Source organism: Homo sapiens, chromosome 11 (genome assembly GCF_000001405.40).
Source record: "Homo sapiens chromosome 11, GRCh38.p14 Primary Assembly".
NCBI classification, from domain to species: Eukaryota; Metazoa; Chordata; class Mammalia; order Primates; family Hominidae; genus Homo; species Homo sapiens.
Genome location: NC_000011.10, coordinates 118,448,078 through 118,471,619, shown reverse-complemented (window position 1 = coordinate 118,471,619; position 23,542 = coordinate 118,448,078). Strand labels below are relative to the sequence as shown.

The 23,542-nt window shown below is 39.6% G+C and overlaps 1 protein-coding gene across 9 annotated transcripts in view, besides 1 other annotated feature; it reads right to left on the bottom strand.

The window, feature by feature from the left end:
- The window catches only part of KMT2A (lysine methyltransferase 2A), a 90,341-nt gene that overhangs the window by 55,213 nt on the left and 11,586 nt on the right, over positions 1 to 23,542 (bottom strand). For all 9 annotated transcript variants that reach the window (XM_011542829.3, NM_001412597.1, XM_011542830.3 and 6 more), the window contains one exon: positions 2,776 to 2,845. In XM_011542829.3, the coding sequence (XP_011541131.1) occupies positions 2,776 to 2,845 (70 nt within the window). The remainder of the gene's footprint in view (positions 1 to 2,775; positions 2,846 to 23,542) is intronic.
- Positions 20,752 to 21,046: a silencer, noted in NCBI's record as "tiled region #11577; HepG2 Repressive DNase matched - State 14:Gen5'". NCBI's record gives its function as "represses a minimal TATA promoter and a strong SV40 promoter by Sharpr-MPRA in HepG2 cells {active_cell/tissue: HepG2}" and the evidence as "EXISTENCE:reporter gene assay evidence [ECO:0000049][PMID:27701403]".

Here is a 23,542-nt window from a genome sequence, read left to right as displayed (position 1 = left end):
TGTAGTTTAGGTTTTAACTAAGCTGAATATAACTTAGCACTGGCCATTTTGTACTGAGTTCAACTTGAGTCTAATGAGTCAATCAAACATCTTAATTGTGCTTAGTTTCTTTTCACCCAAAATTTGCCTCAAAGAAGTCAGCAAATAACATTCCACCTGAAAGAACATTTAATTACTTTTTTGATACAAAAAGATAATAAAAAGTTTTCAGTTGAACAATTAATCCACAAAACTGATTTTCTTACAATTTTAGATGAGCAAGAAGGTTTTTTCTGAATTCAAAGGAATTGTAAAGAAAAAACATCTGAACTTCCTCGCCATATCCTAGCCACCAAGATTAACATTTAAGAATATGCTTCTAGTTAGTCATCCCATCTTTTCAATTCAGAATTCTGGCTTTGAACAAATTTGAATACGCTGCTCTTCAATCATCAACATACCAACTCCTTGGGCAGCTCAGAGTCCCATATTTCAATCTGTTTTGCCAAAGTAGACTAAGAAAGTTTTACTGAATAGAAAAATGTTCATTTATGACACATCAGAATAAGACCACTGAACTCAGTGGCATGTGAACTAATCAGTGAAGTGACATAATGTGTCCACTAAATCTACTCCCCTGCTTAGAGGTTCTTGAGCTAGTCTCAAGTTGCAAAAAGATTTAACCTTAACTGATGTCAACAGCAAAATGACAACTTATTAAATCAAAGTTCTATTCTAAATAAAAGGAATTTGCCAATTTATAAATAAGCTCAGTTTGCTGCTTTTCAAGCCATTCAAGAAAACAAGACTGTTTCTAAAACACCTTGTATAAACCTGTATTTTAAAAAGTAGTAAGACTAGGCTATTTTATCAAATCTTCTTTTCCCTTTTGATAACATTCTTCTGAGACTAAAACTTCCCTTAATAGGCACCAAAAGAGATGAACATTTTTACAATGGAACTGCTTGCTAACAGAACAGAAGTCAACAAAGGTTTTATTGTTGAGCTTTCTAAATATAAATGCATTCCTCATCAATTAATTTATGAGACTTCCTTTAATAGATTAAGGATTCACAGCTCCTTTCTCAACATATCCTAATTACAACAAAGGTAATAAACTAGGAGACAGCAGAGAAACCATGTCTCATTTCTCAAATAATGAAGCATATCGAGATGGTTTCTTAGAAAACAAGACAACATTCAAGGTAGACTGGTAGTCATGAAAAAAAACTTAAGAGGAAACTACCATGAAAAAGTTGTGAATTAACAAAATAAAACTCCTGCCCAGAGCCTGGGTGACAGAGTGAGACTCCGTCTCAAAAACAAAAACAAAAACAACAAACAAACAAAACAACTCCTGCCCGGAAATACATCAAAAGATTCCTTACCATTGTGGTAGACTTGAACCTGGCCAATCAGAGGGCTTTATCAATTCTGAAAACCTCTTCTATCCTACTTTTTAAAAAACTCTTTTGGTAGATAAGTAGAAGCAGCAGAACAGAGAAGAGTCCCAGCACTGCTGCTAACTTCCCTGATCCACAACATATCCAAAGAACTCTCAAACTGGTTATAAATCATTACTCATGTATTTCATGGACCTCATTTTTTCATCTATAAACAAACAAACAAAAATCCCAGATGATCTCTCTAATTCCTTTCCTATATGAAGTTTTAAGACTTCATCACATGTTAAAGAGAACACTGCTACTGTCTGAATAGCACAGATACTGGGACACTACTGGCCAACTGCCCCCAACTAGAATGACAATACCACTCCTCTTTAAGAAAAGAAAAACTGTCAACTTGGATGTTTGAATTAGATGATAATATATGATGACTCTTAAGTGAGACCCTAATGCTAGCACACATCACAAGCTAAGTCAATGTCAAAAAGCAGAAACAGCTAACAATATCATATTTAGCTGGAGTGTCTATCCACATAAAATCAAAGAAAACCATATATGAAGTCAGAATGGCAGCACAGATGGGGAATGCATTTTCATCAAAAGATACATAGCTTTCTCCTATACAGAACTGAATTAGGCAAGCCATTAAATGTTATTTCCATTGAGGGTCTTCTCTTAGGAAACTGCTTGTAAGTCTAGAATTTCAAGATATTCTAGATATTTTGTTGGTGAGAATAATGACAAATATTGCTAATTTTCCATTTTTTTATTTTAATACAGCCTTTCAAGAATCAGGTAAAAATGTTTCACATAATGCCAATATTTTGTTTTTGGTTCTTTGACAATAGTGGACCAAATTTCATCCAAAAAAAATAATGGCCAAATTATTCCCAAAGACATATACACTACCACATAACACAAAATGTGTAAATCTGAGGATACTCTTACTAGGTTACCTTCACTTTGCCTACCAGATTTCCCAGTAATTCTGTGGAAACCTACTTCCCATGCCCCAAGTAGTTCCCAGAGAGAAAGAATAAACCCAATGTGGCCTGATAGATAAGAGTCCCATAAAGAAGTCTAGCTGGGGGGAGGGGGGAGGGATAGCATTGGGAGATATACCTAATGCTAGATGACGAGTTAGTGGGTGCAGCGCACCAGCATGGCACATGTATACATATGTAACTAACTTGCACATTGTGCACATGTACCCTAAAACTTAAAGTATAACAATAATAAATAAATAAATAAATAAAAAGAAGTCTAGCTCATCAGCCATTTCCTAACCCAAGTATGGTAGAGCATCCTTTACATGTAAAGAAGGCAAGAGGAAGCCACAATCTCCTAACAAACAAAACTTAAAAGGCACCATGCACTTAATTGGCCGTACCTGAAGGAGACCTTGTGGGACTTCGCACTCTGACTTCTTCATCTGAGCCAAAACCTAAGAATTGCTCATCCTACAACAAAGGAAAATTATTTTAAAATCAGAAGCAAAAACGTGCATACAAACACATCCCAAAGAAATGCCCAGAGGAGACACAAATGAATTTGGAAAAGTTGCCTTTATATATTAATTATCATCATTCCAATGGATACTATAAAATAACTAATATTGAAATAAATGGACCCAGCCATACAGCTTTATTACAGACAAATAGGAGCTGTGTAGTAACTGAACAATGCATTGAAATGTCATCTTTGGTGCATAGTACACAGAGGATAGTCCTAATTTCAAACTATAGATACAGCCCAAAACAATTAAAGGACAACTTTAAATCAGGTAAGCAAATAAGTATAATGGCAGAAACATACAGCCCCAATACAACAAACAAATGCTTTTCAAAAAGTATTTAAGTCTACAGACACATAAGGAGTAATATAAACAATATAATAATCTCTTGCCTTCTAAATATTAATAGAGACTGAAAGTGCCATAATTGTCAGTTCCTTAACTCAGGAATTGACATTTAGATGTGATTTCTGTACATTTGAGATCCAGAGAGTCTCAACATGCATTTTATGGTATAATTTTAAAAATGCCTGTGATAAGAGACTTAATGGTGGGCAGCAGCGTTTGTGAAAGGGATCATGAATTGACTGCATATAGGATGAAATCCTTTACTAAAACTTAGGGAAGCATCCTATTTTCAGTTATAGTTGGAAAGGACAAAAAGCAAAAGCTTCTGCTTACCTCTAATTTTAACCTGCTCTATAAAAAAAAAAAGGATTTGTTTAACCTATTTTGCACAAGTTCTCAAGAAAGATGGTCTATTTAAACAAACTGATTAATAGAAATTCAATGATTCAGAGATTGAGTTCTTTCCAGAGACAGACACAGAATGATAGAATTTCAGATTCCAGAAACAAAATCCACATAAAACAAGAACAAAATAAGGAATGAAGAACAGACATTCTGGAACCTCCAATTTATAGTGGTAAGTCCCAAACTGAGTTCCAATGACAAAAGCATTAACATTTTCCTCTCGAGAGGTAAGAACACATGTATGTGGACAACATCAATGATTTTCTGAAGGATTATTTTCTCAGTTAATTTAAAACTAGAGTCAGGTGCTAACTGTCTTAGCCATTTTTCAGCCATGACTATATTAAAAGACATATATAACTTTTAGGACAAATTAGCAGGTTCATCTCTTAAATTTAAATGCTTTAGAGGAGCAAAACATTTAAGGCCCAGCCTTTGCATACTAGGCAACTGAGAGAAAAGTCTTACTGGCATCTAAAAAGGCTTTTGCTCTGAGATTGCTAAGATTAAAGTATTGGACTATTTAAGAAAAGGCTGAAATTCTCCTCTTCAAAGACATCTGAAAAAGTATTATAATTTTTTTTTTTTTTTTGAGACGGAGTCTTGCTCTGTCACCCAGGCTGGAGTGCAGTGGCGCGATCTCAGCTCACTGCAACCTCCGCCTCCTGGGTTCAAGCGATTCTCTTGCCTCAGCCTCCTGAATAGCTAAGACTAGAGGCCCTTGTCACCATGCTCAGCTCATTTTTGTATTTTTAGTAGAGACAGGGTTTTACCATGTTGGGCAGGTTGGTCTCAAACTCCTGACCTCAAGTGATCTGCCCACCTCGGCCTCCCAAAGTGCTGGGATTACAGGCATGCACCACTGTGCCCAGCCATGAAAAAGTATTATAATTCTAAGAATGTATGAAACCTAAATTTAAGGAACACAGACTACAGTAATTTTTTTTTTAATTACATATTTTGCTCAGGCTGGTCTTTAATTCCTGGTCTCAAGTGATACTCCTGCCTCAGCCTCCTGCATAGCTCGGACTACATACATGCACCACTATGCCTGGCTTACTGGAGTACTTTTTACAGTTTCTTCTTTCATCACTAATTTAAATTCTTACACGTAAGTTCTTTTTTTGTTGGTTTTTTGTTGTTTTTGTTTTGTTTTGTTTTGTTTTTTTTGAGGCAGAGTCTTGCTCTGTCGCCCAGGCTGGAGTACAATGGCGCCACCTCAGCCTCCCAGGTTCAAGAGATTCTCATACCTCACCCTCCCAAGTAGCTGGAATTACAGGCGTGTGCCACCACACCTGGCTAATTTTGTATTTTTAGTAGAGATGGGCTTTTGCAATGTTGGCCAGGCTGGTCTTGAACTCCTGGCCTCAAGTGATCCACCCACCTTGGCTTCCCAAAGTGCTGGGATTTACAGGCGTGAGCCACTGTGCCCAGCCAGTTCTTTTTACTTTAAAAAAATTTTAAGTAAATTCTTACTGTGAACATTATTTGTGAATAAGAAAAATTCTCTCTTGGCCAGCACAGTAGCTCATACCTGTAATCCCAGCGCCTTGAGAGGCCAATATGGGAGGACTGCTTGAGGCCAGGAGTTCAAGGCTAGCCTGGGCAACATAGTGAGTCTTTACAGAAAATTTTAAAATTTGCCAGTGCTCACTCTGTCACTCAGGCTGTACTGCAGTGGTGTGATCACGGCTCACTGCAGCCTCAAACTCCTGGGCTCTAGCAATGCTCCTGCCTTAGCCTCCTGGGCAGCTGGGACTACAGGCATGTACCAGCACTCAGCTAATTTTAAAATTATTTACAGAGACGGGGTCTCACTATGTTGCCCAGGCTGGTCTCAAACTTCTGGGCTCAAGTGATCCTCCCATACTGGCCTCCCAATCTAAAAAAAATCTAAAAGTAATTTTAAAATAAAAAAATTATCTCTCTTCATCTTAAAACAAGTTAGTATATAACTAACCTACAACATGTGAATCTGAACCCCAAATAAATTTCTGGAATCATTTTCAGGGTTTACACTTGTAGGCTACAATGTTACCAAAAAAACAAAACAAAACAAAAACAGCCAAAACTCCTAACAGCACAATTAATATAAAATCTTATCACAATAATGAAATTCCATACTGTTAACTTTTAAAATGTACTTTCAGGCAGAAAAAAAAGACATTAAAAATAGTAACCCTAAAATATATTTTGAGGAAAAAGCAAATAAAATAGGTAATGGCAAATCACTTCAGAAACAAAAAAATCATAGAATATTATAATTGTAGAGGGGGCCAATCCAGTCTTCTCATACGTGATGCCAGTGAGGAGAGTGCTGGATGTGGGGAGAGAAGGGTTGGTTTAGGGTCTCAGTCTGATTCTCTCAGACTATGTAATCTTAGACAACTCACTTACTGTATCTATCCCTCAATTTCATTTTTTATTTGAGCACTGTAAGGAATAAATAATTTATGTGAAATCACTTGGAAAGCTATAGGCAACATACATATGATGGGACTTCAAAAGGTTCATGGAAAATGGAATTAAAAGATAAAAATTAAAAATATAAATTTTATTTCTCAACATAATCTCCAAGGTCAAGACACTTTTGTAAGCCATGATACCAGCTATTTAGCCCATCCCTAAAGAACTGGGGGTCGTGGGAACTGAAACATTTTAATGCAGTCTTTTTTACATTATTAACTGAAGAAAAATGGGTGCCCTTCATAGATTTCTTTTTTTTCTTTTTAAGATAAGAGTTTCACTCTGTCACCTAGCTATAGTGCAGTGGCACAATCTTGGCTCACTGCAACCTCCGTCTCCTGGGTTCAAGCGATTCTCCTGCCTCAGCCTAGATGCTCCGCCTCCTTCATAGATTTTTAAGATTGGGAAACAAAAAAGGCAAAGGAGACAAATCAGCATACTTAATGATACTGAATGACTTCTCATGAAAATTCTCACAAAGTTGCCCTTGTTTGATGAGAGGAATGAGCAGGGACATTGCCATGATGGAGCAGGACTCTGGTGAAGCTTTCCTGGGCATTTTTCTACTAAAGCTTTGGTTAACTTTCTCAAAACACTTTCAAATAAGCTGATGCTATCATTCTTTGGTCCTCCAGAAAGTCAACAAGCAAAATGCCTTGAGCATCCCCAAAAAACTGTTGCCATGACCTTTGCTCTTAAACAGTCTGCTTTTGCTTTGACTGGACCACTTCTACCTCCTGGTAGCCATTACTTTGATTGTGCTTTGTTTTCAGGATCGTATTGGTAAAGCCATGTTTCATCTCCTGTTACAATTCTTCAAAGACATGCTTCAGGATCTTGCTGCCACTTGTTTAAAATTTCCATTGAATGCTCTACACTTGTCTGCAGCTGATTTGGGTGCAATGGTTTTGGCACCCATTTGGTAGAAAGTTGCTCAACTTTAGGTTTTTTTTTTTTTTTTTTGAGACAGAGTTTCCCTCTTGCCACCCATGCTGGAGTGCAATGGCACAATCTTGGCTCACTCACTGCAACCTCTGCCTCTTGGGTTCAAGTGATTCTCCTGTCTCAACCTCCCAAGTAGCTGGGACTACAGGCATGCACTACTACACCTGGTTATTTTTGTATTTTTAGTGGAGATGGGGTTTCGTCATGTTGGCCAGGCTGGTCTCGAACTCCTCACCTCAGGTGATCCACCCACCTTGGCCTCTGAAAGTGCTGGGATAACAGGCGTGAGCCACCACGCCCAGCCAACTTTAGTTTTTCAGTCAGAATTGTGTAAGCTGAACCAATTGAGATGTCTATGGTGTTGGCTATTATTTGTGCTGTTAATCATCATTCCTCTTCAATTACGGCATGAACAAGATGAATTTTTTCCTTGCAAACTGGACAGTCTGCTACTACAGGCTTCATCTTCAACATCATCTTGTCCCTTCTTAAAATGAGCCATCCAATTATTTATTTGGGGCATTGTCCCCATAAACTTTATGTAAAGCATCAATGATTTCACCATTCTTTCACCCAGCTTCACCATAAATTTTATGTTTGTTTTTGCTTCAATTTTAGCAGAACTTATGTTGCTCTGATAGGGGCTCTTTTCAAACTGATGTCTTATCCTTCTTAGTGCCTCAAACTACATCCTGTTCAGATATGTTATGACAAGTTAGTGCAAGTTTATTTTGGTGCATACAAAATTTTGAAATTCTGCAGTTTTTTCATAATATGTATTTTTCCATGAGTTTTCTTTGAAGTCCCCTCACATAGTAGTTCTTATTGTTGTGTTTGAAGAAAATGAAGCTCTAAAAGGCCAAATGACTTGCCCAAGATCACACAGTTAGCTACAAAGAACCTAAGTGTCTAAACTGGCTGTAGAATAGTTTTCCTACCATAATAGATACAATATAAAACAATAAATATTTAAAGGAATTGAATAAGTTGTCTAAAGTACAAAAATTGCTATTCTTTTAGCTACTGTAAAAGTCACATGATGGCCATTTTCAGATCCTTCAAATTTCTGATTAATTCATTCTTTTCCTGAATTATACTCGTGGAACAACCTGCTAATCTATGCATTTCACAAAGACATCTGGGGATTTCCCAACACTTACTAGGGGACTACATTGCTAAATACACGCATTTTATGTTCCAAATGCTACAATGATTGACAGCTCAAGCAACTATACATATAATAATCAATAGGTAAAGTATTCAACAGGTAATAAAAAGTTATTAATCTTTAAAAGAAATGGGCTGGGTGCAGTGGCTCATGCCTGTAATCCCAGCACTTTGGGAGGACAAGGTAGGAGGATTGCTTGACCCCAGGAGTGCAAGACCAGCCTGGGCAACATAGCAAGACCCCATCTTTATTTAAAAAAAAAAAATAAAGATAAATGTAAGAGATACACACTGTTAGGTTCATTATTAACAACCTAATGAGTCATTTTTATATATTTCAAACTTTTACAAAATGTAACTATATAATCCTAACTGCAATGTATTCCAAAACAAGAGTTCCACTGAGCTGTCAGGCAGTTTAACTGCCAATATTTAAAGTTTCTAAGTACTTTCCAAAATGACAGGAAGCATTAATTCGTTTTCCTTCTGGTCTTGTACTTGGAATAAGGAAATAAAAAATAAGTAGTCAGGCCGGGTGCAGTGGCTCACGCCTGTAATCCCAGGACTTTAGGAGGCCGACGTGGGAGGATCACAAAGTCAGGAGATCGAGACCATCCTGGCTAACACGGTGAAACCCTGTCTCTACTAAAAAAAATACAAAAAAATTAGCCGGGCGTGATGGCGGGCGCCTGTAGTCCCAGCTACTCAGGAGGCTGAGGCAGGAGAATGGCGTGAACCCGGGAGGCGGAGCCTGCAGTGAGCCGAGATCGCACCACTGCACTCCAGCCTGGGCGACAGAGCGAGACTCTGTCTCAAAAAATAAATAAATAAATAAAAATAAGTAGTCAAAATGAACTATACTTTTACCCAAGAACTTTCTTTGCACTTGAAATATTGATTGATTTCTTGAAGCATGCTTTAAAAAATAAGTACCCATTGTTTAAATAATCCGGACAGCTTAGCCAAAAACAAAAGCTGTCATTGTTATGTTAAAGAGCTCCAGTCTTCTAACTTGGAACTTCCAAGCCTATGTAAGAGCCCTAAAAAACAAAACAAAACAAAACAAAACAAAACAAAAAAACTAAGTAAAGCCAAGTTGAGAAAGCACTGGGAAAGAAGGCTACAAGAGGGTGCTGCAGCCGGGCATGGTGGTTCACACCTGTAATCCCAGCACTTTGGAAGGTAGAGATGGGTGGGTCACCTGAGGCCAGGAGTTCGAGATCAGCCTGGCCAGCATGGTGAAACCCCGTCTCTACAAAATATACAAAAATTATCCAGTTATGGTGGCACGCGCCTGTAGTCCCAGCTACTCGGGAGGCTGAGGCACGAGAATTACTTGAACCTGGGAGGCAGAGGTTGCATTGAGCCAAAAGCTCACGCCACTGCACTCCAGCCTGGGTGATAAAGCAAAACTCCGTCTCAAAAATAAATAAATAAATAAAGAGGGTGCTGCAAAAAAGTCCTCCTTTCACTGCACTATCATGAGCAACAGGCTTCTCATCTTGCTCCATCACTCTCCTTAAGCACATGGGATCCCTGGAGGTTGGAAACAAGGTAAGAGTGTTGGCTTCCCAAGGATTTAAACTTATCTAGAAATCAAAAGACTACAGTAATATGTGTATAAAAAAGACAAAAGAAGCTACAATTAAATCCACATTTGGCATCGTGGCATCATAAGCCTGGACAGCCCTGAAGAGAGAGGGTACAGGAGACATCATGCTATACATGACTAGGGACTCCTGGGAACTGGGCTCAGGCAACCATTCATCACACACTTTTCCTTTCAACTTGGCCTACTCTGATGAGCACAGCATTCCAAGACAGTATAGCCACAAAACCTAAACCTTGCTGACACTGATGTCCTTGGAGACTAGATCACCAATATTTCATTTTCTTACCAGCAAAGATAGAAAAACACCCTTGCCAAGTAGAGCACTGCAAAATACTGTTAACTCATATTTAGCTTCCAGTGATTAAGACAGCAAATTAAGCTATGTAATGTCACTTCCTAAGTGAAATCTAGTTGTAAAAATAATAAACATGTAGAATTTCTTTCTGACCCCTGCATCTCCACTCTGGGGTAACCAGTTATTTGAGAGCTTCCAAGCATACCTTTACCACTAAATTCACGTTATTCATAAATATCTTAATATTCAGAAATTTTATTTTAGTGGCAAAACTTTAATTCTTTAGTGGCCAGTTATTTCTGTGAGTGACGAAGCAATAGGAATATTTCTCCCACAAAAGAACCTAAGTGAACCCTAAATAAGTATTAAACATAATGTTTGTGTATAAAATATAAGGTATATTAGAAAAATACATGAAATTCTGTGTTTCAAGGAATTATGTACTACTAAGACAACTTTTCAAACAAAGCAATATTTAATTCATTTGTTCACTCAAAAAACATTTATACACTTGCCCTAGGGCTATATGTTCCAGATACAACATTGAGTAAGACATGATTCCTGCTCCCAAGAAGTATCTAAGGCAGACAGGCAGTGTGCAATTTCAGCCTTCCTTTTAAAAATCAGTTGCATTAAAATGTCACTAAAGAATAGCTGGGTATGGTGGTGTGCGCCTGTAGTCCCAACTATTTGGGAGGCTGAAACAGAAGGATCACTGGAGACCAGGAGTTCAAGGCTGTGGTCCCCTATTATTGCACCTGTGAATCCACTGCACTCCAGCCTGAGCAACATAGCCAGATCCTGTCTCTAAAAAAACAATGTTACTGAAGGATAAAATACTATGTGTAATTCATATTCATATTCTGGAATAAAAAATTTTGCTTAACTCTTGAAGGCTGGGTGTGGTGTCTCCTGACTGTAAACCCAGCATTTTGTGAGGCCAAGGCAGGTGGATTGCTTGAGCTCAGGGAGTTTGAGACCAGGCTGGGCAACATGGTGAGACCCCCATCTCCACTAAAAATACAAAAAAATAGCTGGGTGTGCTGGTGCATGCCTGTGGTCCAGCTACTCGGGAGGCTGAGGTAGGAGGATCCCTGAGCCTGGGGGACGGAGGTTGCAGTGGGCTGAGATCGTGCCACTGCACTCCAGCCTGGGTGACAGAGCAAGTCCCTATCTCAGAAAAAAGAAAAAGTCTATTCTTCCTTCTATATTAGTATGTGGTTCATGGAGAAATATTCAAATTTCAAAATTCTTCCAAAGGATGGCAATGTATATCTCCATTCCTCAGTATTGTAACTAGGCACTCCAGAGCTAGAAATCAGAGTTTAGGCAATCAAGACCTAAATTATCTATAGTAACTAGATGTGACACAGTTTCTAGTAATACCACTGATCTGATAAAATTTCAACTGATAAACTGTAATGTTTTCTTCCCTATCCCCAACTAAAATGCATAGCTTTTAGTTCCTCCCTTAAATTCTTCCCAATTGGGCCTGAGGCAGTGGCTCAAGCCTGTAATCCCAGCACTTTGGGAGGCCAAGGCAGGCAGATCACTTGAGGTCAGGAGTTTGAGACCATCCTGACATGACCAGAGACATGGTGAAACCCTGTCTCTACCAAAAATACAAAAATTAGCCGGGCGTGGTAGTGCCCGCCTGTAATCCTAGCTACTCGGGAGGCTGAGGAAGGAGAATTGCTTGAACCCGGGGCGGGGGGTTGGGAGGGCCGGGTAGAGGTTGCAGTGAGCCAAGAGCTCATGCCACTGTACTCCAGCCTGGGCAACGGAGCAAGACTCCATTTCAAAAAAAAAAAAATTATTTTCAATATACCATAGTCAGAGCAAAAATCACCCGCCTAGAGTTCTTTACCTACCAGGCTAAGATGGAGGCTCCAGAGCTACTTTGAGAATTCCTCTATTGAATAAGCTCCAATACTCCTGGCCTCAGATGAATACAGCCTAGGATGACTTTGCTCACACCCTCACCTTCCTTTTCTAGCAAGAGACTCCTAGGTACTTCACAGCACTTAATTAAGTGGTAGGCATCTCAAACATGCCCTTTAGCAGCTATATCTTAGCATTCTTCTGTTTCCAAAATTTTTAGTCTTATGAAAAATCAGGGCCTGGCATGGTGGCTCACACCTGTAATCCCAGCACTTTGGGAGGCTGAGATGGATGGATCACTTGAGGCCAGAGTTCAAGATCAGCCTGGCCAACATGGTGAAACCCTGTCTCTACCAAAAATAAAAATTTGGTGGGCATAGTGGTACATGCCTTTAATCCCAGCTTCTTGGGTGGCTGATGCACAAGAATCACTTGAACCCAGGAGGCAGAGGTTGCAGTGAGCTGAGATTGTGCACTGCACTCCAGCCTGGGTAACAGAGCAAGACTCTGTCTCAAAGGGGGGAAAAAAAAGAGTTTGAAAAATCAAATCCCTTCAATTACAAAACAAATTTCAATGAATCAATTGAAAATAACATCAATACCATAGACAGTATCAAAATCACTCCTGATGCACTTGTTTTTTGAAATACTTTGTTTTGAAGGCTTCTAGTACCATTATATATCATTCCATCAAATGAGGAGGCCACAGGAGAACTAACAAAATTACTGAGAACAACTAAAGTTGAAGAAATATCCAGGAGGCAAACTGTGCATCTTGGCAGCGATAAGTTTAAAAAGAATACCACTTCCCCTTTGGGAATTTATTCCAGGTAGCTATCACTTCAGCTGGCACATTTCCCCTTGTGGCTACTGCTACAAGCTTCAAAATACCAAGGTCTTAATGTTGCACCTTAAAGACATGCTCACATAATTACTAGTATTAGCAGAAGGAATTTTAAAAAATGTGTTCACACATTTGTCTTCTTTAGAGTGTGTACTCTGAGGATAGAAACAGTTTTCCTATTCATTTTTGTATTTCTAATATCTAGCACAAATTTGGCACCCAATAAATGTTTGTAAAATGAAAATAAAAGAAATGCAATAAACTTGTTTTAAGAACATTAAATACCTACTGTGGTAATAGTACTATAGTAGAAAATACTGAGGGACTTCAAAGAATTACACAATATGATTCTTACTTTTAAGAATGTATAGGGGCAGGACGAGGTGGCTCACACCTGAAATCCTAACAATGGGAGGCCGAGGAGGGAGGATGGCTTGAGCCCAGGAGTTGTAGACCAGCCTAGTTCTAGACCAACATAGTGAAACCCTCTTTCTATAAAAAATAGAAAAAATTAACTGGGTGTGGTGGGTGCCTGTAGTCCCAGCTACTTGGGAGGTTGAGGTGGGAGAATCACTTAAGTCCAGAAGATACAGGCTGCAGTGAACTGTGATCGAGACACTGCACTCCAGGCTGGGTGACAGAGTGAGATCCTGTCTCAAAAATAAACCAAAATAAAATAAATTTGAAAGCATCTCAAAAAAAAATGCATAGGGAGAATGCCCTCAGGTTGGGAGGACAGACTGTACCAATTCATTCATTCACTCACTCATTAAAATATATATCGGCCATTCCTAGGCTACGGTATGAAAACAGAGATAAAGGACAGCTTCTGTCTTTAAGGACCTGCTAATCTTAAAAACAGATGAGTAAATTAATGAAGTATCGTATGTTGCCTGCTATGCTAGAGGAAGACACTGCTGGAGGAGCACAGCAGAAAGACAATTAACCCACTCAAGGAGAAAGGATCGGGAAGGCCATTGCAGAGAGGATGAAAACTTAATCTTTCGAAGGATGATAAAGCTGGTGGGGGGTGGGGGAGGAGTGTAGTGCAAGCAGAGAGAATAACACATACAAAGGCACAGAGACACAAAAGAATGTGGCATGGAGTGAAATTAAAAATAGTTCTGGATGACTGAGGCCTTAGCTGATGTGGGAAAGGGGCAAAAGATATTGAAGGGAAAAAAAGGCGGTCAGGCATGGTGGCTCACACCTGTAATCCCAGCACTTTGGGAGGCCAACGCAGGTGGATCATGAGGTCAGGAGTTTGAGACCAGCTTGGCCAACATGGTGAAACCCTGTCTCTACTAAAAAATACAAAAAAAAAATTAGCCAGGCGTGGTGGTGGGCACCTGTAGTCCCAGCTACTCAGGAGGCTGAGGCGGAGAATCGCTTGAACCCAGAAGGCAGAGGTTGCAGTGAGCTAAGATCATGCCACTGCACTCCAGCCTGGGTGACAGAGCAAGACTCTGTCTCAAAAAAAAAAAAAAAAAAAAAAAAAAAAGGCAGGAGGTGTATCATGAAAGGTCTTATATGCCTTCATGAGTTTGAAGTTTATCTTTGAGGACGTGTAGACCTCATCCTGAAGGCTATAGCAGATTAGTGACTCTGGTAGGAGAGAAGTATGATTAGATTTGGATTTTTGCTGCCAAAAGCTATGACAGCAGTAGAGAAGTAGAGGCAGGAAGAACAGTTGTAAAATGACTGTAGTGGCCATACGGATTAAGGGGAAAAGGACAGATCCTATAGACATTAGGAGGCAAAATGGACAAGACTTTGATATAAAGGTTTAAGGGAGTGCAAAGAATCAATAAAACACTTGTGGATGTCTGGCTTAGGTTGATTAGGTTTATGGTGGTATTTACCAAGACTGGGAACACAGAAAGGAGACAGGTTTAAAGGAGTGGGAAGAGAGATCATTTTAGACATCTGAATTTGAAATGTTTATCCACGTTGTCTAAAGGGTATAATGATCTGAAGAAAACACATCTGACTCAATGAATATATGAATGCTGAAACTGTGTATGAATTCAGTCACCCAGGGAAAGAATATAGTACTGAAAGAAAAGGAGGGTAGATGGCAGAGTTCTGAGGAATACCTACATACTTAGAAATATATAGGCATGCCAGGCGCGGCGGCTCATGCCTGTAATCCTAGCACTTTGGGAGGCCAAGGTGGGCGAATCATGAGGTCAGGAGTTTGAGACCAGCCTGGCCAACATAGTGAAACCCCATCTCTACTAAAAACACAAAAAATTAGCTGGGCGTGGTGGCAGGTGCCTGTAATCCCAGCTACTTGGGAGGCTGAAGCAAGAGAATTGCTTGAGCCCAGGAGGCGGAGGTTGCAGTAAACCAAGGTCACGCCATTGCACTCCAGCCCGGGTGACAATGTGAGACTCTGTCTCAAAAAAAAAAAAGGTTCATTTTTTAAATTTTTAGTAGAGATGAGGTCTCACTATATTGCCCAGGCTGGTCTGAAACTCCTGAGCTCAAGCAATCCTCCCAAAGTGCTGGGATTACAGGTGTTAGCCACCATGCATGGCCCTAAAAGTTTTAAAGAATGCAGCTCTGAAGAAAATAGATCATGAAGGTAATGAGCAATGGCTGATTAACAGTAACAGGGAGAGGCCAGGTGCAGTGGCTCACATCTATAATCCTAGCACTTTGGGGGCCTGAGGCAGTGGGATATTCCAGGAGTTTGAGATCAGCCTGGGCAACAAAGGGAGATGACTTGTCTAAAAAAAAATTAAAAATGTATTAAAAATGTAGCCAAGGCTGGGCACAGTGGCTCATGCCTGTAATCCTAGCACTTTGGGAGGCTGAAGCAGGCAGCTTGCTTGAGACAGCAGTTCAAGACCAGCCTGGGCAACAATGTGAAACCCCATCTCTACAAAGAAAAACACAAAAATTAGCTGGGTGTGGTGTAGTCTCAACTACTCAGAAGTCTGAGATGGGAGGATCACCAGAGCCCAGGAGGTCAAGGTTGCAGTGAGCCATGATTGCGCCACTGAACTCCAGCCTGGATAACAGAGTGAGACCCTGCCTCAAAAAAAAATAAATAAATAAAAATAAAAATAAAAATAAAAAAAAATAATAATAATAAGGGGCAGAGAGGGGGAAGAAAATCAGATGCAAGGATTGGAGGATTGGTAAAAACTGATTAGGCTGAAAAGGGGTAGCCAGAGTAGGGCCAAGATAGAAGACAAATGAAATAATCAGAACCTTGTTAATTCTTGTATGGTATGGTCAAAGCAAATGCAATGAATACAGACTGCTACCATTGGTTCTCAAATGTAGAGAAGGCATTAACTGTGAAGTTTATTCTGGAAATGGTATATATAATGAACTAGAGTAAGAAAGACTTAAAAAAGGGGGACCAGATAGCAGGCTACAGGCATAATTCAAATATGACTGTCACTCAATCATTCAATAAGTATTTATTGAGTATTGCCAGGTACTGTTTGACTCTCAAGATACATGTAAAGAACTAACAAAATTCCTGCCCCATGAAGCTACAATCTAATGGAGAGACAGAAAATAAACATATAACAAATAAATAAAAGACACTAGGGGCTGGGCATGGTGGCTCTCGCCTGTAATCCTAGCTACCAGGAAGGCTGAGGCAGGAGGTTCATGTGAGCCCAAGAGTTTGAGGCTGCAGTGAACTGACTGAGCCACTGCGCTCCAACCTGGGTGACAGAGTGAAACCCTGTCTCTAAGAAGAAAAAAGACACTAGGACAATAAGAATTGACAGGAGTGGGGGGTGGAGAGGTGTTAGCTGTGGGGTTATATTCGCTAGGGTAGACAGGAAAGGCTTCTCTAAGGCAATAGTTTACCGAAGACTGGAAAACTATGGGCCACAGGCCGAATTTGGCCCACCATCAATTGTTCTGCAAGTTAAAATTAAAAAAAAAAAAAATTAACCATTTTTTTAAAGTCAAAAGAATATTTTGTGTACATGAAAACTATATGAAATTCAAATTTCAGTGTTCATAAATAAAATTGTATTGGAACATGGCCACGTTCAGTTGTTAATGGACAGACAGTCCCTGACTTACAATGGTCTGACTTACAATTTTTGACTTTACGACGAGCTTGTAAGTGTATTAAACGTATCTTTGACTTATGACATTTTTGATGTATGGGTTTTTCAGGATGTAGCCCCTTCGTAAGTTGGGGAGCATCTGTATTGCCTATGGTTGCTTTTGCACTTACAACAACAGAGTGGAGTAGTTTCAACAGAGGCCATCTGGCCCTTTGCAGAAAAAAACTTGCCAAACCTGGTTAGGCCTAAATGAGAAAAAGTCAGACATATAAAGACCTTGGTGGAGTAGTGTTCTAGCCTGAGAGCAAGTGCAAAGGCCCCAAGACAGCAACAGGCACAGCATGCATGACAGACAGAAAAAGGCTAGTGTGGCTATATAGCAGAATGGATGAGATGAGAAGAGACAATGCTCGAGAAGTAGGCTTGACCAGAGGCCAGCTTACGTGTGGCTTTGTTGGCCATAGTAAGGAATCTGGATTTATCCTAGCAGTGTGGGGAGACACAGATAGGTTTAAAGTGAAGGAATAGGATTTGATACCAGAGTTTACTGTTGCTATGTGAGAAACAAACTTTAGTGAGGTAATAACATAAGCAACTCCAACCAAGAGACTATAATGGGAGAGTCTGAGGTTTTGGTAGCAAAGTTGTTGAGAGGTAGTTGAATTTAGGGCTTATTTTGGATGTAATACAGACAGAATTTGCTGATGGGATAGATGTGAGATGTGAATAAAAGAGATAAATCGACGATAAATCTTACATGTTAGGCCTGAGCAACTGGATTTTTGGTGGAATAATTAAGAAACAAAGAGACTGGGAATGGAAAAGGTTTGAGGAAGAAAGTCAAGACTTTTTAGATATGGTAAGTAAGAGATACCTATTAGGTATCCAAGTGCTTCAATGTATATGTGTTTCCTTGCCTATGAAATGGGAATACTAGTGATACTTCAGACAATGGTCATGAAGGTTAGGTGAGATAATTCATGTGAAGTGCTCAGAATATAGCCTGGCCCACAATAAACACTCAGTAAATATTAGCCAAATGGAAATATCAAATTGGCAGCAGGCTATACAAGCCTGGAACTCTGAGAAGTAGTCAGTGTTAGAGAAAAAGATTTCTTAGTTGTCAGCGTATAGATGAGGCCTGGATGAGATGACCTAGGAAGAGTGTGTAGACAGAGAAGGCAGTGAAAAGTAGACTCCTGGGAACCTTATTCAGGAGAGTTAAGCAGAGGAGGGAAGCCATACAGAATACTGAAAATTAACAGCCAATGAGTTAAGAAGAAAAACAGGTGAGTACAATGTTAAAAAAAAAAATCCAAGAAGGGAGTGGTCAGCTGGTTCAAAGGCTGCCAAAGGGTTTAACAAGATGAGAACTGAGAATTATCTATTCAATCTGGTAAAATAGAGCTCCTTGAGAACCTTGATAAGAGCTATTTCAGAGGCATCATGGGGATAAAAGCCCAACTGGAGTAGTTGAGGAAAGAATGAAAGGTGAGAAAGTAGAAATAGCAATTACACACAGCACTTTCAAGGAGTTTTGCTGTGAAAAGGGAGAAAAGAATCAGGTAGCAGCTAGAGGTGGACGTGGGGTCAAGCGTTTTTTTAAAGGATTATATTAAGGCAGATAGTTTTATATGGTGATGGGACCAATCTAGTTGTGAGAGAGAAATTACCTATGCAGCAGGAGAGATGAGATAACTGCAGGTACAACCCTGACTAGATGAGAGGAGATGGGATCCAGAGCTCAAATGGAGAGGTTGGCCTTAGATAGAAGGGGGCACTTCCGCCAGGCACAGTGGCTCACGCCTGCAATCCCAGCACTTTGGGAGGCCGAGGTGGGCAGATCACGAGGTCAGGAGTTCGAGACCAGCCTGGCCAATATGGTGAAACCCCATCTCTACTAAAAATACAAAAATTAGCAGGGCGTGGTGGTGGGCGCCTGTAATCCCAGCTACTTGGGAGGCTGAGGCAGAACAATCGCTTGAACCCAGGAGGCGGAGGTTGCTGTGAGCCGAGATGGCGCCACTGCACTCCAGCCTGGGCAGCAGAGTGAGACTCCATCTCAAAAAAAAAACAAGAAAGAAAAAAAAAAAGAAGGGGGCACTTCTTTGATGGTAGAAGGCAGCAGAGCATGTAGTCACATCTAAGTTCCATTTTAACAGGAGGGAAAAAGTTTTGTTTTTTGAGACAGGGTCTTATTCTGTCGCCCAGGCTGGAGTGCAGTGGTATGATCATACCTCACGGCAGCCTCCTATTCCTGGGCTTAAGTGATGCTCCCATCTCAGTCTCCTGAGGAGCTGGGACTACAGTGCTCACCACCATGCCTGGTTATTCTTATTCTGTTGTAGAGAAGGGGTCTCACTATGTTGTTCAGACTGTCTTGAACTCCTGAGCTCATGCGGTCCTTCCTCTTTGGCCTCCCAAAGTGCTGGCATTACAGGTGTGAGCCACCATGCCTGACTGAAAAAGCTATTACATACTTTGAGAACATTTAAAATCTCCTGATTCAGAGCCAGACGTAGTTGTGTGCACTATGGTCTCAGCTATTTTGGAGGCTGAGGGAGTAGAATCGCTTAAGCTCAGGATTTCAAGTCTGTAATACATGATGATTATGCCTGTGAACAGCCACTGCCCTCCAGCGCAGGTAACATAGTGAGACCTCGTCTCTTAAAAAAACAAAAAGCAAACAAAGAAAAACCCTCCTGATTCATGTATTACATTTGGTGTAAGACAACTGACTCAAGAATCACTAAATCCGTAAATGAAGAATAGCTGAATTGCTCCCAAGGACAATTCTGTTAACATTAGTTCTGAGAGCTTCAACCTTCAGATTATCAATTTCCAAAGTATCTTGCAAAGTATTAAAAATGTGAATACTTATATTCCTGCTACATTTTAAGCTGAGCTCATTAAAAAGAATGAGAGGCTGGGCATGGTGGGTCGCACCTATAATCCCAGCACTTTGAGAGGTCAAGGCAGGACGACTGCTTGAGCCTGGGAGTTCGAGACCAGCTACATAAGATGGTGAGACCCCATCTCTACAAAAAAAAAAAAAAAAATTCACTTTGGGAGGCCGAGGTGGGTGGATCACCTGAGGTCAGGAGTTCGAGACCAGCCTGGCTAACATGGTGAAACCCCGTCTCTACTAAAAACATAAAAAATTAGCCAGATGTGGTGGCATGTGCCTGTAGTCTCAGCTACTCAGGAGGCTGAGGCACGAGAATCACTTGAGCCCAGGAGGTGGAGGTTGCAATGAGCCGAAATTGCGCCACTGCACTCCAGCCTGGGTGACAGGGCAAGACTCTGTCTCAAAAGAGAACAGAAAAGAAAATTAAAAATTAGTAGGCATGGTGTTGTGAGCCTATGGTCCCAGCTACTCAGGAGGCTGAGGAAGGAGGATCCCTTGAGCCCAGGAGTTTGAGGCTGCAGTGAGCTGTGTTTGTGCCACTGCATCCCAGCCTGGGTGGAAGAGCAAAAACCTGTCTCTAAAAAAAAAAAAAAAAAAAAAGAATTAGATAGCAAGTTTCATGAGGGAAGGGACGTCTCCAATGGTAGAGCCCCAGTAGCTGGTCATCCACCTAGAGTATAAAAGATGTTCTTTGATAAATGAATTCGATTTTTCAATTTCTATTTCTTACTTTGTAATGCAATATTTATGATAGCCATTTTTAGGAAGATGAGCCTCTTTGCAGGTACTTTTTCATTATTTGTAGTAGAAAAAAAATGTAGTGACACCTGTAAATCATTTCCAAAAGCAGAATATAAAAATAATGCTGCTCAATCAGTAAGAAAAGTATAATATACCCAAGCACAGTCAAATACACAGACATCAAGGGGCAAACTTCTTAAGCCAAATAGTTAATGAAATTCAACCAGTCAAGAAATGTATGCTGTTATTGAACTGACATCATATTCTCTTGTGAACAGATTGTCAGGGGCAGGAACAAGGGCAGATTCTCTCTGGTTATTGGTGCATCAAGAGAACAATGATTATTTGAATGCATAACAGATAGGAAGAGATTGAAACTGTTTAAATATGATCTCTGCCTGATATTGAGAAATGTTAACACAAAAAGGTCACTTGGGATTAAAGAGCGCTAAGACAATAATTCTCTGTTCTTCAATAACAACAGAAGGTAAAAATTTCACCCACACAAGAATGAAGTCCAGTTTTCAAATATTTAATTCAATTCTACCTAGCAACTGTCACCTAAGAAACACAAATGCTACTCACTTTGTAACTAGAGAAATAGGTAGTACCCCTCATCCCCACTCCATGTCAACAAGAATAAGCAGCAAAGATGCTGAAAACAGCAAAGCAAATGAGACAGGTGACCTCCACCCACCCTGCTTCAGAAAAAGAGGTAGTCATAAAGTAGCTTATCTGTCTTAAAAACAAAAAAACAAAAAACAGCAAAATGAATGCACTACTTCAGATAGTAAACTATTCTGATTCCTGGCAATGTCCCAAATTATTCTGCAGAATCTTTAAAAAAAAAAACCAAAAACTCAAGAAAGGTGTATTTCCAGAATCCTCAGGTTCCAAGTCTGAACTGGTTTATCTACTTGCTAAAGCAGAAAAAATAAGCCCACTTAACTGATTCACTGTAGAAAATTAAGTTAAGCATCACAATCACAGGGTTTATTTTTCTCTAATAGGAAAGTACCATAAATGACCAGATTGATTTGAATAGGCTAGAAAAATTAAACAAACACCAACTTTATTTTCAGATATAGTTCTTTTTATTATAAGAAATTTTGGTCCCCCATATGACAAGTTTAAGTGGTTAACTTCATTTTGAGCTACATGCTCATTCAACTACAAACTTCTACTATAAAACTCAGTTTTTTTCTTCCGTTTGTTGTTCTTATTCTGGCGCAAAAGTCAGGTTACATCTTTCCTTCTGGGAAGATGGGCTGTTGAATGACCAATAGTAATGGGAGTAAGACTGAGGAATCCACAACTTCCTTCTTTCTAAAGGTAAACAGGGTTATCTCTCCATAAAGTCAGTTTGCTGAAGGAGCAGTGTAAAATTAGATGACAAAAGTGAACATTCTTCTTGGCAAAATAACACTGAAGCCTCCAAGTTGGCCAATGCAATTTTTTTTCTCTTTTTTTTTTTTTTTTTTGAGATGGAGTCTCACTCTGTTGCCCAGGCTGGAGTGCAGTGTCATGATCATGGCTCACTGCAGCCTCGACCCATTGGGCTCAAGCAATCCTCCCATCACAGCTTCCTGAGTAGCTGGGACTACAAGGCGCCAGGCCACCATGCTTGGCTAATTTTTTTTTTTTAATTTTTTAAATTTAAAATTTTTATTTTGTAGAGATCAGGTCTTACCAAGTTGCCCAGGCTAGTCTTGAACTCCTGGCCTTAAGCAATCCTCCCACCTCAGCCTCCCACAGTGCTGGTATTACAGTTGTGAGCCACTGTGCCCAGCCCACCAACACAATTTTGACTTATTATTTTTTAGGAATATTCAAATATATGAGTTGGGAAATTTTGTGTTCTTAATATTTTGTAAAACCAGTTGGTCTCTTTTGGCTCCCACATCATATTTGGAAGTTTGCCATCACATTCTGAGAAGCCCACATTAGGTGGCATTAACCTATTAAAAAAAAGAAAGTCCCTGGTATTTTTTATTACTCCAACACTTGAATCTCTCAAGTAGAACAAAGAATCGTAAGACAATTTGTCTTTGCTTTTATAATCCCGTTTTCTGAATTTATACAAGCAGTTTTATGAATTTTACATCTCTTGTTTTCTGAATGTATGACAAGAAATTAAAAGTTATAGGGAAAGTATGAATTTGTTCTACTTCCAATTCCCAGAGTTTCTCAAATGACATCCAACTTTATAATTAAGGAGTCAAACTGCCCTTCGCTTTGCCAACAATTGCAGAATTCCTGCAACAATCCAGCTTCACCTATGAACCCCAGGCATTTTATGAGACTGGTTAAAAGTAGAGACCATTCATTATATGCCACTTAAAAAATACTTAAGATGTATAACTAATCTTAAATAAATCTAGTATCAGTTCACTTGAAAGAAGGAATTCATACACAATTCCAGTAGGAAATTCAAAAGTCCTAAAGCTTCAATAACCCAATGAAGGTTTTGGAGTTAAGAGTTAGTAGGAAAACTGGCTGGTGGTAATATCAGCTCTGCCCAGACTTTTGGTAATCTATATGAATAATCCCAATTCAAGTTTTCATTCTGACTGTACAGGAAATGCTTTCTGCAACCCAACATATCTAAAAAGGTTTCATTCTGAGTGATGCAAGCCCTCTACACAGCCTCAAAAGCCAAGGGTCAGAGGCTTTTATAATACTAACTAACATGAAGCAAACTTCTATTAGTTTGGAAATGATTTATAAGCATTTGTTACAATGTATCCACAAGCAGTGACAGCCTTAACAAGAGCTATTCTGAACTATACCTCTTTAAATGACAACTGAAAATGGACATAAAAGCTACAAATACTTATTTGTTTCCTATATTGATACCACACCTACTGTTTTCCTTGGTTTCTCTTGATGTTTAAGATTTCTCTCTTAGCTCCACTTAAAAATTTGTATTCTCCTATAAAGCCACTACAAAAACCATTACTTCCTAAAGAAATATCTCTGGAAGCTTCCT